The following is a 17,775-nucleotide window of genomic DNA, read 5'->3' as shown; positions in this document are numbered from 1 at the left end:
CAGCCATAGCTGCAGACAAAGCACACGACTGCTGGGCACTGTGGCTCAAGAGAAGGGGGAGATGGTAAGTGGGGGATCCCCATATTCTCTCTGGCTGTTAAGAGTTTCTTTTCACATGCCTGGAGCCCGAACTAGAGGAGCTTTCTCTGTGCTGTGGGGCCCATTTCCAGGTTGGCTGGTGGTATTGGATGGGAGAAAGTGGTAATCTGTTAGACGGCTGGGTGATACTTTCAATTCTGGTCTTCCCCACTTCTCCATTTTGCTTTTCAGAATCCTCAAAAGTAGTGCACATTGCATACTGTCAGGTTTGATAGCTGGTGACTTTCCATCTGGACTCAGTAGCTTCGAGTTTTAAAAATCCATCATGATTTGACTTCCCACCTAACTTCTTTAGTTTATCTTCTGTCTATACTACATCATTCATATTTTACATTTGCCTTCCTGCTTCTGAGCTTTTTGTGAAAGGCATTCTTCCTGTCCAGAATATCCTTCCTCTTTCTGTCATCTTTCCAAGACCCTTTCAACACAAGGCTCTTTAAGGTCTATCACCAGCATCCCCAAGTGGTCTCTCTGTACTCCCTAGGTCAGAATTTGTATGTGCGTTACTCCCCAACAGTTTCCTAACACTTTCTCTTTTTCCGTGTTTTTCAGTCTGCGTGTACTTTTGGTTATGAGCTTCATGAGGGCAAAGACGTGTTCTATCAGTTGCATCACCAGTGCCATCTAGCTCAGTTCTCTGCACACAGTTGGCACTTAGTAAATGTTTGAGTTAAATTAATGAGACCTCCAAGATATAGGGCCTAATTTTATCTGCACATGTGAGTCCCTTGAATGAATGCTGTAGAGTGCTGCTTTTTTACTGTGCTTGTTTGGCAGTTTGTTATTGTGGAGAAGAATGAGGACCATGTGGTTTCAGTTTGAAAGGAAATTGTTGCGTAGCGATTTACCATGCAGCTGTGAGACTATGAACAAATGACTTTAAATATTATACAGTAGAAAAGAAAATTGACTTTGGAAATTATGGTATTATTTCAATTTTTTTCTCTTCTCTTCTTTCTGGACAAGGCCTCGCTCTGTCACCCAGGCTGGAGTGCAGTGGTGTGATCATAGCTCACTGCAGCCTGCACCTCCTAGAGAGGCGATCCTCCTGTCTCAGCCTCCCGAGTAGCTGGGACTACAGGCATACACCATCACACCTCGCTAGTTTTTGTATTTTTTTGTAGAGATGGGGTCTTGCTGTGTTGCCCAGGCTGGTCCTGAACTCCTAACCTCAAGTGATCCTCCCACCTTGGCCTCCCAAAGTGGCATGAGCCACTGTGCCCATACTGGGTTTGTTTTTTTTTATTTACAGTAGCCGTCCTAATGGGTATGAAGTGATATCTCATTGTGGTTTTGATTTGCATTTCTGTGATGATTAGTGATGTTGAGCATTTTTTCACATGTTTGTCGGCTGTTGGTATATCTTTGGAGAATTGTCTATTGAAGTCCTTTCCCATTTGTTAACCGGATTATTATTATTATTTTTTTGTTATTGACTTGTAGGAGTTCCTTTATATTCTGGATATTAACCCTTTATTAGATATGTGGTTTGCAGATATGTTCTCTCATTCTGTGTGTTGTTCCTTTTTACTCTGTCAGTTGGTTCCTGTGTTGTGCAGACGTTTTAAATCTTGATGTAATTAATGTATTTGTCTGATTTCACTTTTGTTGCCTGTGCTTTTGGTGTCATATCCTAGAAGTCATTGCAAAATCCAGTGTTGGGAAGCTTTTCCCCTAAGTTTTGTAGTTTCCAGCCTTTACGTTTAGGTATTTAATCCAATGTTAGCCCTTTCTTAATGGGTTCTGTGTATTTTCGGCAGGGAATAAGTCTTTAATATGACTGTTTCAGGAATTTACCATAGTTAACTTTTCTTTTTTCCTTCTTCCTTCCTCCCCTCTTTCCCTCCCTCATTCCCTCCCTCTTTCATTCCCTTCTTCCCTCTCTTACAGCTTGAAGATAATGGAATCACTCACTTTTTGTTCATAATTGGTAAGATTTTAGTTGGTAGAATGATAATTCCTTTTCAACAGAACTTTGTTATTTGTTCATTGGTTAGCAGGAAGAAGATGAGCCTTAAGTCTGAACACTGAGGAATTCATGTGCATCAGTCAGACCTCCTGTGCAAGGAAGGATGTGGTTACTACGGCAACCCTGCCTGGCAGGGTTTCTGCTCCAAGTGCTGGAGGGAAGAGTACCACAAAGCCAGGCAGAAGGAGATTCAGGAGGACTGGGAGCTGGCGGAGCGGTAAAAGGACTTAACTAGGGGTAGTTGAACAGTGACGTGACTGGATACATACTTCTGTCACCGTCCAGATACATTTTTTTAAATTTCTGCTTTGACCTATCAGCAAGTCAGTTTAAAATTAAGGAAAAGGATGTTTTCTCCTCTTCTTCTCAGTCAACCTTTAATGAACAGCTTTCAATAGTTTCTTCATTTTGTGTATGTCTTAACTTCTGATTATATTCTTTGGGTTGTGTTAGTTCTCAAATTTAGACAATAAGCTCCTTGGAGTGGAAGAATGGAGATAGGCATATTTCCCGGTGAAGATTAAATGAGCTAATAAATATGATGTACCCAGTGCAGGGCTTGCAAATGGCACTCATCAAGCATTATTTCCCTTGTTCTTTTAATATATTCAGCGTGGCATGTAGCTCAGTGATAAAACACAGTAGTAGAAATCTGTTGACTTGTATACATAGTCCTTGCATTATAGAAATTTAACTTTTCCTTAAAAATTAGATTAGTCAAAGGCAGTTTATATTATCTGGAAATACAGTGATGTTAAAAATTAAATAATGAGCCAGGCGCAGTGGCTCATGCCTGTAATCCTAGCACTTTGGGAGGCTGAGGCGGGAGGATCACTTGAGGTCAGGAGTTTGAGACCAGCCTGACCAACATGGTGAAACCCCATCTCTACTAAAAATATTTAAAAAGTTAGCCAGGCGTGGTGGTGCGCACTTGTTATCTCAGCTACTCAGGAGACTGAGGCAGGAGAATTGCTTGAACCCAGGTGTTGGAGGTTGCAGTGAGCCGAGATCGTGCCACTGCACTCCAGCCTGGGTGACAGGGTGAGACTCTGTCTCAAAAAAAAAAAAAAAAAATTAAATGATGGGATGGCTAGTGAGCATAGGAACTAATAAAATGCCATGAATAATGTTAATTCTTTGCCAGAGCATTTTGGAAATTCTAAAACTGCTTCAACAGAAGAAAGTCAAATGGAATTCTGCCAAATCTTCTTGGTAGTTTTTTTGTTTTTTTCATCCAGTCAGCCAATATTTGTTGAGTGACTATTTTGCTGGCATCTGTGGTGAACTCAGAGAATTAGAAATTACACATTGCTTTCAGTGACTGTGGTCAATCAAAGAGAAAATTTTAGCCCAGAACATGAATGATCTCCTCAGGGTTTCCACTGCATGCCTGATGCTGTCAGTAGCAGATCCTGTTTCAAAAACAGTAGAGGGCACTAGGCACCAACTGCCTCAGCTTCCTCCCCTTGCCACATAAAAATGTACTAATACCTTTATATTAACTTCTTGTCTGTTCCAGAGAAAGAGGTGTCCTGATTCCATCCTCAGACTTAGCACCTCCACCTGTGATTTTTGTTTCTATTTCTTACTGCTTTTAATTGTGACCCTGCTAAATCTCTTGGAAAGCTTGTAAAAGCAGTGATTGCTGGACCTTACCCTTAGAGTCTCTGATTTTAGTAATTTGGGAGTAAGACTAGAGAATCTGCATTTCTAACAAGTTGCCTGGTGATGCTGCTGCTGCTGTCTGGGGAATCACACTTGGAGAACCACTGTCTTATAGATAGTGCTTGGTTTTTTGTTTTGTTTTGTTTTGAGACAGGGTCTTGCTCTGTCACCCCAGCTGGAGTATAGTGGTGCAGTCTCAACTCACTGCATCCTCTGCTTCCTTGGCTCAAGTGATCCTCCTGCTTCAGCCTCCCAAGTAGCTAGGACTACAGGAGCATGCCACCATGCCCAGCTAATTTTTGTATTTTATGTAGAGACAGGGTTTCACCATGTTGCCTAGGCTGGTCTCAAACTCCTGAGCTCAAGTGATTCAGCCGCCTTGGCCTCCCAGCGTGTTGGGATTAAGGGCGTGAGCCCCCGCACCCGGCCTGTGTTTGTTATTTATTACAGATGGTTCACATGCAGCTAATCCGAAGCCAAATTTATTGCTTTTATTTATTATTCTCCCCATTCTGAACATTTTCCTCCTAACCCTTCTCGTGAGTCAGTTAATGGCGTCATTCTTTACCAAGTTAGCTAAAAAACCTTGGTTTCACTCTTGATTTCTCTTTAACCTCCCTTGGCACCTACAATTTGACCAAGTTCTGTTTGTTCCAACTTAGAAAAGTCTTTTGAATTTTACCTTTTCTACTCCTCTTTTCCAGGTATTTATTTTCTTTTACTTAAACCTTTATAATATACTCTTAATTCCTGTCCATGTCTCTGGTTTCTCTATCCTTCAAGTTGTTCTTACAGCTACCTGCATGATCTTTCTAAAGCACAGATCTGACAACAATAACTTTTTGGATTTACAGTCTTTCTTGCTTCCCCACCGCATGATGAAATCCAGAATAGGCTTAGCAATGGGCTTAGCAATCAAGATTCCCTACCCTCTGGTGCCTTCCTGTGTAGCCAGCATCACAGTTCATCACACGCCAGTGCTCTGGCTACATTCAGCTTGTTGTGAAGCAAACCACAGGCTTGCACATTCGTAGTTCCTTCTTCCTGGAATGTCCTTTCACGTAGAATCCTAATCATCCTTATCAGTCAGGCGTGGTGGTGTGTGCCTGTAGTCCCAATAACTTGGGAGGCTGAGGGATGAGAATTGCTTGAACTTGGAAGGCAGAGGTTGTAGTGAGCTGAGATCGTGCCATTACACTCCAGGCTGGGTGATGGAGTGACACACTGTCTCAAAAAAAAAAAAAAAAAAAAACAGAAACAAAAAAAGGATCCTGTTTGTCCTTTAAGACTCACCCCAAACAGCACCGTTGTAAAGCCTCATCAGACTCCTCCAGCAGATTGCGTTGTTCTTTTCTGTGTTCTCACAGCACTCAATTTTTACTCTCTGATGTAGCAGCTGTCCCATTATATAGCAGTTGTTTACTTACCTTTTTGTTTGTTCCAACCTTGAGCTTGTTAGGGAAAAGGACTAGACTTTCTTTATTTCACTGAGCTTGTTGGGGAAAAGGACTAGACTTGGTTTCTTTCATGTAACCCTAGAGCAGTTGCTGAATGAGCATGAGAAGATCCCATTTGAAATCTGTAGTGCATGAAGAGCAGTCCATCCTGTAGCTATGTGAGACCTCAGACTGATTTTGCATATTTAGTCTCTAGTTCTAAAATCTTTAGATCCTCCTGAATAAATGGAGTAATAACCTTCAGATACAGAGAAATCTTGGAGAATATCTAGATCATTCTAATCCTCTCTTGAATTGCAGACTCCAGTGGGAGGAAGAGGCCTTTGCCAGCAGTCAGAGCAGCCAAGGGGCCCAATCCCTCACATTCTCCAAGTTTGAAGGAAAGAAAACCAACGAGAAGACCCACGAGGTTACCACAGTGAAGAAATCTTCAGTGCGTCTTCCAGGGTCGGATCAAAGAAGGGTAATGTTCTGATACTCTTTTTTTTCTTCTCTGCCTGAGTGAGACACAGAGTAGATCCAAAATGCTTATAGGCTCAGCTTTGTAATTTCTGTCAACTTTTTGAGAACATCAGCTCAGATTTGAGACTGAAATTGGGTTTGAGGGTCAGACAATATATGAAACCCATACTCTCTTTGGTCAAAAGACATTGTGTTTTAGAGAAATTTGTTTACTCTGTAGGAGGAGTCAAGAGAATTGAAATAGGTAGTTTTGTTTATGAAATTCATGCCTATCCAAGTGACTGTCTCTTTGGATGTTTTGTTTTTTGTGCATTTGTGGATCTTGGTTTGTTCTGTGGCATAATACCCTCACTGTTCATAGCTTGTCAGAAATGGTGATTTCTAGGCTTGAAAGTCATCTGAGAGAGAGATTTTCTGCCCGAGAGCTTATTTGAGAGACAGCTTGTGTCTTGGGGAAGTGTATTGAGAGCATATAGGAAAAAGCCCACGTTGGGCTCTTGGGGGGATGAAAGTGAGCCATAGTAGCTGTTTTCCAGTGCATGGGTTTGTATGTAGGTGATCATATTCACCCGGCTTCTTAAAGTGCCATATAACCAGCAAGAAGATTGTCACGTAAGTCACAGGTGTTCTACAATTGAGCAGACAAGCCAGTTGAAATGGCCCAACATGAAGCAAGAAAGAATCTTTGTCGTTAGGCCTTGGTCTCCGAAAATTTATGTTGGTACTCAGAGTTATGCAGTCAATGTGAAATAATGAGGGAGACTGGGAACCGACACTGATGCTGTCAGAAGACCTGTTTTCTGGGAGCCCCCTCTCTTGCTCCCCAGTTCCTACCCTGGGGTAATTGTAATGAGTTCTCCCCTGGAGGCAGGGGAATGAATAATAAGACAGTGTTACCCCTTAAGACCCTTGCCAATCTTCTAGGTTTTGTGACTTTTGCTGTTTCCTTTTGTTTTATTATAAGGAAATAAAAGGAAATATTGCTTACCAAAAACACACTTCTCCTTAAGACATGGATACCAGATGCAGTGGCTCATGCCTATAATCTCAGCACTTTGGGAGGCCACGATGAATGGATCACCTGAGCTTGGGAGTTTGAGACCAGCCTGGGCAACATGGTGAAACCCCATGTCTACAAAAAATACAAAAATTATCCGGAACCACCTGCATGATTACATGATTAATTTGGTTGTTTCTTGGTTGGCTGCCAGTTGTAGCTATTTTGTCTCTACTAAAAAGGGGAAAAAAATTAGCACCTGCCAGAGATTAAATAAGTATGTATTCGGCTCATGATTTATTTATTAGGAGGTGAAATTTCCAGGTGGTTAGTAAGGTGACTTTGGAGTCACTCCTGGTTTGAGTCCTAGCTTTGTCATTTACCACCTTTGTGACCCTGGGCGGACTAACAACTCCAAGTCTTGTCCACACTGAGGGACAGTAATACCTATCAGAGATATGTGATGAGGATTCAATGAGTTGACATATGTAAAGAGCTTAGCATAGTGCCCGACACACACGTTAGATCTCCAGTAAGTGTTAGCTTTTTTAAAATGCAAGTTATTCTTCTGATAGAATAATCTTGCAGGGAGCTAAAGGCCATTTATTATTAAGATCCTTCATTTCTATTTAGCTTAAAGTCTGTTTCTTGATGATACGTAGTGAAATGATAAGTATTTATAACAGATGAAATAGTAAAAAAATTATAAAATTATCAGCTCGAATAGCCTCATTTTGCAGATGACAATATGAAAGTCCATAAATGTTAACTGATTTACCCAAGGTTGCACAATCTGTTTGTGTATGAGAACTCAGGTCTCCTAACTCCTGGGTCAATATTTTTCCATTATATTCCTTTATTCAATGTGTATACTTCAGAAACCCAGGTTATTTAATGTGTATAATAAATAGTAAATATATATATATATAATTAAGTTTCTGTTACTTAAGTACGTAATTGTCATTTATATTCGCTGACTCCCCTTGGTGATTTTAAAAACCTATGTCCCAAAAGCCTCTGTACAGTGTGCATGATACTATGGAAAGAAGATTTACAATTTAGTGCAGAGTCTGTACTTTAAAAAGAAACAATTCTGGAGCTGGGTGCAGTGGCTTCTACCTACCTGTAATCCCAGCTACTTGGAAGACTAAGGTAGAAGGGTTACATGAGCCTAGGAGTTAGTGGCTCCAGTGAGCTGTGATTGTGCCATTGTATTCCAGCCTGGGCAGCAGAGTGAGACACCATCTCTAAAAAAATTAATTAATTAAAAAAAGAAACAATCCAAGTGACTTTTATTTTAAAAATATGTATGCAGAACGGTTTTTACCTTTGTTCTTGTTTCCCCCCGCCCCCCATCTTTTCGAATGGTAGATTTGTACTTTCTATTTTTTGTTCTTTAGTTGCTTTTTGTCAGTAGAAAGCTTTTGGGGATAAAGACCTTAAAGCATTTAAAAATTTATGTTAGAAAAGAAGATTCCATTATGTCTTTGTTTCACAGATCACTTAATATAACTTAGCCAGGTAAATTTTGCATTTCACACTGATTACTTGTTTGGCCATTGTGTTTGGATAAGGTTAGCCTAAGTGCAGTTTTAATGTATTGGGCCTAGACTAGAAACAGACTTTTTGGATTCTGTATTCTTTATCTTCTTTAGTCCATGATGCCCTTGCTCTTGGTATTTTACTTGTTTCTATTAGTAGCATAAAGGAAAGCTTTTACGCCATACATAGCAGCTTGGAAGCAGACAAAATACAAATAAACTTCTATGGAATTTGAAGACTATTTTCACATTCTTTTAGAGTTGGATACGCCTTCAGAGAAAGTAAATCTTGACTGTGAAGACTCAGTTAAAGTGTTTTAGTCTCCACAGTCTGGGTGAGTGAGGAAGTCATAGTGGTTGGCCAAGCTGAGATACTTGCTTATACATTCCAAAGTGCCCTTTTCTTTCAGAACTCCTGTAATCTTGTCATCACAAGTAGAATCTTGTGTACCTCTTTCACAAATGGATCTGAAGACAGTAATCCTACAAAGCATATCTTTTCTTTTTTAGAGTTAAAATACCAATACCACCCAGACCTTAGACTCTAAACACTTTATTCGTTAAAGTGAACCAGGGCTTCTTAGAGAAATGACTGATTCTGGGGCTGGGGCAGGGAAAAAAAGGCCCCTTCAATATTTCGAGGACATTTCAGAAGATCTAGAAGCCAGCTTGGAGGGGTTTCCACTGGCCAAGTCTGGGATAATTTGAGTGTCAAAATAAATAAGGACAATAAGGCCAGGCACAGTGGCTCACAACTGTCATCCCAGCACTTTGGGAGGCCGAGGTGGGCAGATCACCTAAGGTCAGGAGTTCCAGGCCAGCCTGGCCAACATGGCGCAACCCCGTCTCTACTAAAAATACCAAATTAGTCAGGTATGGAGGTACGTGCCTGTAATCCCAGCTACTTGGGAGGCAGAGTCAGGAGAATCGCTTGAACCCGGGAGGTGGAGGTTGCAGTGAGCTGAGATTGTGCCACTGCACTCCAGCCTGGGCAACAAAGTGAGACTCCGTCTTAAAAAAAATAAAATAAAGTGAAGAAATCAATAAATAAGGACCATAAATGAACAAAATCATAATCCATGTGTTAATTTAACTAGTAAAATAGAGAAATACGGCCGGCACAGGGGCTCATGCCTGTAATCCTAGTACTTTGGGAGGCCGAGGCAGGCGGATCACCTTAGGTTGGGAGTTCAAGACCAGCCTGACCAACATGGAGAAACCTGTCTCTACTAAAAAAATACAAAATTAGCTGGGCGTGGTGGCACATGCCTGCAATCCCAGCTACTGGGAGTCTGAGGCAGGAGACTCGCTTGAACCCGGGATGCAGAGGTTGGGGTGAGCCGAGATCATGCCATTGCACTCCAGCTGGGGCAACGAGCAAGACTCCGTCTCAAAAAAAAAAATAATAATAATAATAAAATAGAGAGGTTATAGTCATGTTAGTAGTAAAAATTGATTCAGGTAAAGTTTATCTGGGTGCTAAATCTGGGATGAGGGGAGCGAGTTTCCTAGGAAACAAGTTATGAACATGATCTCAAATTCACTGCCTATGAATTATTTATGTATTTATTTATTTTTCTTTTTTTCCTTTTTTTGTGGAGACGGGAGGTGGGTCTTGCTATGTTGCCCAGGCTGGTCTTGGCCTCAAGTGATCCCACCACTGCAGCCTCAAAGTGCTGGGATTACAGGCGTGAGCCACCATGCCCAGCCAGATTATTCATTAATTATAAATGGAGAAATGGTAACTATAAAATGGGGATGTATGGGGCAAGGATAGATGTTACGTGCTTCCAGACATGACACTTTGAGAACACAACATCATTTATGAAATATCTAAGCTGAAAATTTTTAACAACCTGAATCCAGTCATGAGGACACCCAATCTAAATGACATTCAACAAGATACCTGGCCTGTGTTCTTCAGAAATGTCATGCCGAGAGAAACAAAGGCTGGGAAAATTGTGAACTGCTCATTGTGAACAATTGAGAAAATTGGAATATGGATTTTCAATTGAGTAAAAGTATTGTATCAATGTAAATTTTCCTGAATTTGGTAACTATCCTGTAAGGTACATAAAACAATGGCTTAATCCCTTTGCATTGCTACAGAAGAATACCTGAGGCTGGATCACTTACAAAGGAAAGAGGTTCATTTGGCTCATGGTTCTGCAGGCTGTGGAAGAAGCATGGAGACGGCCAGGTGCAGAGGCTCATGCCCCTAATCCCAACAGTTTGGGAGGCCAAGACGGGCAAATAACTTGAGGCCAGGAGTTGGAGACCAGCCTGGCCAACATGGCAAAACCCTGTCTCTGTTGAAAATACAAAAATTGGCCAGGCATAGTGGCCCATGCCTATAATCCCAGCTACTTGGGAGGCTGAGGCAGGGGTATCACTTGAACCTGGAAGGCAGAGGTTGCAGTGAGCCGAGATTGCGCTGGTGTACTCCCGCCTGGGCTGCAGAGTGTGAGACTCCTTCTCCAAAAAAAAAAAAAAAAAAGAGAGAGAGAGAGAAAGATTGGGCAATGGAAGGCTTGATAATCATGGTCTACTTGCTATTCCTGAAATACAAGCTTTGTTTCTGTATTAAAAACATAAAGTGCAGCCTGGTCCAGTGGCTCATGCTTGTAATCCCAGCATTTTGGAGACTGAAGCAGGAGGATTGCTTGATCCCAAGAGTTCAAGACCAGCCTGGGTAACAGTGAGATCCCATCTCTTAAAAATAATGATAGTAATTAGCCCGGCTAGTGCCTGTAGCCCCATCTATTCTGGAGGCTGAGGTCGGAGGATCATTTGAGCCTGGGAGGTTGAGGCTGCAGTGAGCTGCGATCATGCCACTGTACTCCAGCCTGGGTGACAGAGCGAGACCCTGATTAAAAACAAAAACAAAAAAAAAAAAAAACGCAAGGTGACTTTAAGTTGAAGAGCAAGCACTTGCCATTTGAGCCCTAGGCAAAACTATAAACTGTAATGTGGGTGAGGTTGTTCTTTTCCCTGTTTCCTTCTTCTTCACTTCTTTCACCTTACACACTGAATCCCTATTGGCTGTTCAAACATAACTCACCTCCTCCCTGTGTACCAAACACTTGAACTGTCTCTCACTTTCCCCTCTCTAATCCAAACTTCTGGCCTCTTAGTAGGGGTTGATTTTTAGCAAGCTTAGAGAAAAACAACAAAGTGTTGATTTTAGTAACTTGTATGATCTTAAGTAGCTAATAGAATTAATCTTCATTTACATTTTAAAAGGAGTTTTTTTTCTTTTTTAAGCAAAAGTGTCTCTTTGGAAAAGTATGTGTGGGAGGGAAGCATGTTATAAGCAAAGCAATAAAGGAAATGAGTAGGGTTTTCCTGTCTTTGACTGGTGTACAGACCTCTAAAGTCAGAGGGATTGGTGTTATTCTAAGAGTCTTCAGTCCTCTCTTTGGCTTACTGAGGTAGTTGTAGCATAATCAACAGCTCAGGCTTTGGATTTAAGCGCACAGACCTGGGTTCAAATTCCAGTCTTTATAAGTGACTGCAACATTATTCAAGTTACTTAACATATTCAAGCCCCAGCTTCCTCATTTGTAAATATCATAAGTGTACTACCTGATAGACTTGTGAGGATTATACAAAATAGCATTGTAAAAGTACCTAGTGCATAACAGGCATTACCTATATGTAAGTTTATGCTACCATTATTATTTTGTCAGATGGAATATGTATTATGTTTTTATTGGGTTGAGTGTTCTATCAATGTCAGGTAGGTCAAGTTGGTTGATAACATCATTCAAGTTTTCTGTCTTTACTGACTTTTTAAAAATCACCTCTCTGTCAATTACTAAGCGAGGAGTATTGAAATCTCCAAATATCATTGTGAATTTGTTTCTCCTTTCAGTTCTATCAAATTTTGTTTTATGTGTTTTGAAGCAGTGTTATTAGTATATACAAATTTAGGATTGCTGGGTTTTCTTGAAGAATTAACCCCTTTTTTATGATGAGATACCTCTCTGTGTTCTTGATAATATGGTCCATGTTCTTAAGTTTACTTTGTCTAACATTGGTATAACCACTTAAGCTCTATTTCATTGTTTCAGAGTATCCTCTTCCTTTCATTAGTTTTTAACATATTTGTATCTTTATATTTAAAGTAAATTTCTTACAGACAACATGAAGTGAGGTCTTGTTTTTTAATCTAATCTGATAATCTCTGACATTTAATCAGACTGTTTATAGCACTTATATTTAATGTGATTTTTGATAAGGGAAGTTTTACTCCTGTCATCTTGCTTTTTGTGTTTATCTCATCTTGTTTTAGTTCCATTTCTCCTCTTTTTTTGCCTTCTTTATGACCACACCTTTATCTCCACTATCAGCTTGTTAGCTACACCTCTTTGTTCTGTTTGTTTGGTTTTGTTTGGTTTTTGTTACTGGTTGTTCTGGGGTTTACAGAATACGTCTTTAACTTACCTTCAAATAATATTTATACCACTTTACAGAAAAAAATTTTTTTAATAATAGTATTATACGACTTTACATATAAGAATCTTAAACAAGATTCTTATATTTCTTCCTCCTGTCCTTTGTGCTGTGGTTCTACATGTTACTTGGTGGTTCTTTCATCTTGGGTAGTTTCCTCATATGCATGTGCAGTACTCAGCCACACTCAAGGGAACCCTCTGCAGATACCTGGAGCTTTTTCTGTGTAGCCCTCTCCCCTCCGTAGTGTTTGCATGATATTTTGCCATGCAAATTCTGGTCACATCGGCCTCCCTGAACTCCAAATGCTGTCTCCTCAATTCAGCAAGTCAGCTAGGCTCTGTTTGAGTGGCCTCTCCCTGTGCCATGACTTTAAAACTCTCCCAGCAGTGAGCTGGGACACTCTAGGACAGACTGTATTTGTTTCCCTTCTTTCAGGAGTTAATCTGCTGTTTGCTTGTCATCCAATGTCTGAAAACCTTTTGTTCATATATTTGTCTCACCCTTCAGTTGTTAAGATAGTAGGGTAAACCTGATGCCATCAGAGTATTCCATCATGACTAGAAGCGGAATTATCAGACAGAGAAGGATTTTTGATAAAGAATTTTTTCCTAATCATACAGATGTCAGCACAGTCTTTGGTTTTTTATTTACATAAAAGAATTTTAGAAAAGATGTTGCCCTTTTTGTTTTGAATTAGATTGTACCTGATTTATTTATGTGCTTAAAAAAAATAGGTAGTATATCCAAATGACTCAAACGTAACAGGTATGGTTAGAAGTTTCCTTTCTACTTTGTCTCTCGCCCATCTAGTTCCTAAGTACCACTGCTATTGTTCCCCTACTTTTTTTTTTTTTTTTTTGAGACAGAGTCTCACTCTGTCGCCCAGGCTGGAGTGCAGTGGCACGATCTCGGCACACTGCAAGCTCTGCCTCCTGGGTTCACGCAGTGGCTCCTGCCTCAGCCTCCCGAGTAGCTGGGACCACAGGTGCCTGCCACGACACCCAGCTAATTTTTTGTATGTTTAATACAGACGGGGTTTCACCGTGTTAGCCAGGATGGTCTTGATCTCCTGACCTCGTGATCCGCCCGCCTCAGCCTCCCAGTGTGCTGGGATTACAGGCGTGAGCCACCGCGCCCGGCCTATTGCTCCCCTACTTTCACAGAACTTTTGTTATTAGTTTCTTATGTATCCTTCTGTGCTTTTATTCTAATTTATAAACACATATATTCTTACCCCGCTACCCCCTGTTTTATATAAAACACAGCACAGTGTACATCCCTTACTTTTTTTTTTTTTTTTTTTGAGACCAGGTCTCACTCTGTCACCCAGGCTGGAGTGCAGTCAGACTCCTGGGCTCAAGTGATCCTTCTGCCTCAGCCCCTCCAAATAGCTGGCACTATAGGTACGCACTACCATGCCTGGCTAATGTTTTTACTTTTTGTAGAGAGAGCATCTCACTATGTTGCTAATTTATGTTTTTGCTTCCAATACATTTATGAGCTCTTTCCATATCAGTACACAAGAAGCATACTTTTTAATTTTAAAACCCTATGGCATTTTATTTTATGGATTAAAGGATAATTTATTTAGTCCATCAGTGATGGCCAGTTATTTCCAGTCTTTTGCTATTACAAGTAATGCTAAAATGTACATATTTCATTTGGTACATGTAAAATTTTATTAGTAGAAAATTTTGGAGAAATAGAAATGTTAGGCCAGGCGTAGTAACTCACACCTGTAATCCCAGCACTTTAGGAGGCAAGCGGATCACATGAGGTCGGGAGTTCAAGACCAGCCTGACCAACATGGAGAAACCCCTTCTCTATTAAATATACACAGTTAGCCAGGCGTGGTGGCACATGCCCGTAGTCCCAGCTACTTGGTAGGCTGAGGCAGGAGAATTGCTTGATCCCAGGAGGTGGAAGTTGTTAACCGAGATCGCGCCATTGCACTCCAGCATAGGCAACAAGAGTGAAACTCCGTCTCAAAAAAAAAGAGTCCTGAAGATAAAAGATTATAAGGAGTTACTCTGAGAGCCAGACGCGGTGTTTCGTACCTGTAATTCTAGCACTTTGGGAGGCTGAGATAGGAGGATCACCTGAGGTCAGGAGTTTGAGACCAGCCTGGTCAACATGGTGAAACTCTGTCTCTACTAAAATACAAAATTAGCTGGGCGTGGGGGGGCATGCCTGTAATCCTAGCTACTTGAGAGTGAGGCAGGAGAATCATTTGAACCTGGGAGGCGGATGTTGCAGTGAGCCGAGATCCACTGCGCTCCAGCATGGGCGACAGAGTAAGACTCCGTCTCAAAAAAAAAAAAAAAAAAAAAGAAATTACTCTAAGAAACTGTAGAATAGGCAGGTTAATATCTTTAAAACATACTTTTTCTGGCCAGATGCGGTGGCTCACACCTGTAATCCCAGCATTTTGGGAGGCCGAGGTGGGCGGATCACCTGAGGTCAGGCGTTCGAGACCAGCCTGACCAACATGGCGAAACCCCGTCTCTACTAAAAATACAAAAAATAGCTGGGCATGATGGCACACATCTGTAGTCCCAGCTACTTGGGAGGCTGAGGCAGGAGAATCGCTTGAACCCAAGAGGTGGAGGTTGCAGTGAGCCGACATCACACCACTGCACTCTAGCCTGGCGACAGAGTGAGACTCCGTCTCAAAAAAAGAAAAAAAAAATACAAAAATTAGCTGGATGTGGTGGCACTCACATGTAATTGCAACTAGTTGGAGACTGAGCCAGGAGAATCGCTTGAACCTAGGAGGCAGAGGTTGCAGTGAGCTGAGGTCTTGCCACTGCACTCCGGCCTGGGCAACAGAGCAGTACTCTGTCTCAAAAAAAAAAAAAATCAAATAAAACATACCTTTTTAAAAAATTATTTTTAGGAAATCATTGGGATATGGGGAACTTAAATTCCTTATAAACATTAGAGAGCATAGTTCAAAATCAGGAGGCTTAGAATGTGGTCAAAGACCAAGTGGTAGTTCATACTTTCTGAAAGCACTTACTGCCTATTACAACATCCTTACCTCTCTTGTGTAAATGTCCCATTTTCCTTTCAGTGTGTTTATCTGAAGAGGGGAAAGAATTGTCTGCCCAGCCGGTGGGATAGTGTAGTGCATGTTTCCCTTGTCTCTTCATTGTATGCTTTGTCGTGTTCATCATGCTATTAATACTTTGGATTCATTCTTTCACTTTGATCAGTATGACTCACCAACGAAATGGTGGGTAAATAATTGTGAGTCTCCACACAAACACATTAACCTTTGCCTTTTTGTCAAGTAAAATGGGATTTGGAAAGGTTGTCTAACATTTATAAGTCATCTAACATTTCAGTGCTTCTATTGATTGTTATTCTATTTGTTGACTGGTTTTATAAACTCCAGCAGTCTTTGAGAAGCCTAGTGGTGCCATTTCAGTGTTCATGATTGAAGATATAGATGAAAGCATGGTAGATTTTGGCAAAGAAAATATTAATAGAACAACTTTTATTTCAGTAGGAATATCTTTTAGATAATGTAGTTTTGTCTACTCATACTTCCTACTTGTAAAACAGATTTAGTTTACTTTAAGGTAAGTTGTCCAATCATTCAAACATAAAATGATTTAAATTCAAGTTTAACCTTGATGAAGCATAATTTAAATAACCTTAGGTAAGATACTTAAAGTAATTCCACGCATGGATCTTTTATGTCATGAAACTTTCTATGTTTAATTTTCCCAGCAGAAATTCAGGAAGCAAAAGCCAGTCCTTCCATAAACCGGCGAACCAGCATTGAAACGGATAGAGTGTCTAAGGAGTTCATAGAATTTCTCAAGACCTTCCACAAGACAGGCCAAGAAATCTATAAACAGACCAAGCTGTTTTTGGAAGGGATGCATTACAAAAGGGTAGGTTGAGAATAACCACATAGAAACATAGAGCTTTGGTTTGAGAAAAGGTCTTAGGGATAATATAGTGCAACCTTGTCATTTTATACCGGAGAAAATCAAGACCAAGAGATGTTAAATTACTTACCTAAGAAAAGCCTCTGAATCAAGCTAAAACCCAACTCTGAGGCTAGTACTTTTCCACTGCAACTCAGTGGTGTTTGGATCATCTTTGTGTGGAAATTCTGACCTTGAAGCCACTTGAATTATGTGCTTTTAGTAACAGGCCTTTTTGACTTGTGACCTTGTAAATAGTATAAACTGCCATAGTAGACCTTTAACTCTGTGCAACCATTGTTAGGCCAGTGGCAGTAATTTTAAGGGTTGTTGTTGTGGAATTCTGTTTTGTTCTTTGTATTTTGATTTTGAATTTTTTCATTCAGTTAGAGAAAGGACAGAATTTAGACAATGAAAGGGACTTTAGCAACTATGGAGTTTCAGTCCCTTTATTTTATAGATGAGGAAGTTGAGAGCCAAAGAGGATAAGTGACTTGTCCAAGGTTACACAGCTAGATTTTGCCAATGTCAAGTAGTTGTGACTTCCACACCTGTTTCTTTTATCCATAATTTCTGACCCATAATTTCAGTGGCAATAATTCATAAGACTGCCTGTAAAGGAATTCATTTTGTAAATAGGGATTAATTCTGTTGTAACATTCTATAACCATTAAACTCAGAATTAGCTCCGAAAGTTCCTTCTATGCAGTAAGGAAGTCTTAGAAAGAAAAAGGAAATTAGAAAAGCAGCAGGGGTGTTTAACTGTTTAGCTATATTCTAGCTGGGGTCAGCAATCACTAGGCTAATAAGCAGTGGACTTGTGTTGAAATAATTTTTAGATATTGAATTCAGTTTGTAAAGGAGAAAAGCTTGCTTTCTCGCCCTTCAGAAATGTAATTAGACTGTGTAAGTAAGTAGCTGTCTTTCTCTAGGTATTTTTTCTCTCTAGAGTAAAACATTTGGAGTTAAAACAAGTGAGCTGTTATTGATTTTTTTTTTAAGTTAGGAACCATGATAGATATCCTTAATATGGAAAAATTCAGAGTTCATGTGACATACGTCTTTCATTTTTATCAGAACTAAAAACTGAGGTTTTGTATTTATTCTTGAGCCCACATGAAATGTTGATGGGATAGCTGTACTAACTTAGAATATGTATATTGTAGTACTTAAGCATATATGCTGTATA

General features: G+C 40.3%; 3 annotated features.

Annotated features, from left to right (window-relative positions):
• Positions 13,205–13,704: an enhancer, noted in NCBI's record as "H3K4me1 hESC enhancer chr7:75749887-75750386 (GRCh37/hg19 assembly coordinates)". NCBI's record gives its function as "activates a minimal SCP1, AML or CMV promoter by ChIP-STARR-seq in naive H9 embryonic stem cells {active_cell/tissue: H9 hESC(naive)}" and the evidence as "EXISTENCE:reporter gene assay evidence [ECO:0000049][PMID:30033119]".
• Positions 13,705–14,206: an enhancer, noted in NCBI's record as "H3K4me1 hESC enhancer chr7:75749385-75749886 (GRCh37/hg19 assembly coordinates)". NCBI's record gives its function as "activates a minimal SCP1, AML or CMV promoter by ChIP-STARR-seq in naive H9 embryonic stem cells {active_cell/tissue: H9 hESC(naive)}" and the evidence as "EXISTENCE:reporter gene assay evidence [ECO:0000049][PMID:30033119]".
• Positions 16,628–16,922: an enhancer, noted in NCBI's record as "tiled region #10512; HepG2 Activating DNase matched - State 5:Enh". NCBI's record gives its function as "activates a minimal TATA promoter and a strong SV40 promoter by Sharpr-MPRA in HepG2 cells {active_cell/tissue: HepG2}" and the evidence as "EXISTENCE:reporter gene assay evidence [ECO:0000049][PMID:27701403]".

This window comes from Homo sapiens, chromosome 7, assembly GCF_000001405.40.
Source record: "Homo sapiens chromosome 7, GRCh38.p14 Primary Assembly".
NCBI lineage: Eukaryota > Metazoa > Chordata > Mammalia > Primates > Hominidae > Homo > Homo sapiens.
Note: the sequence above shows the minus strand (reverse complement) of the source record. Positions and strands in the feature narration are given on the sequence as shown.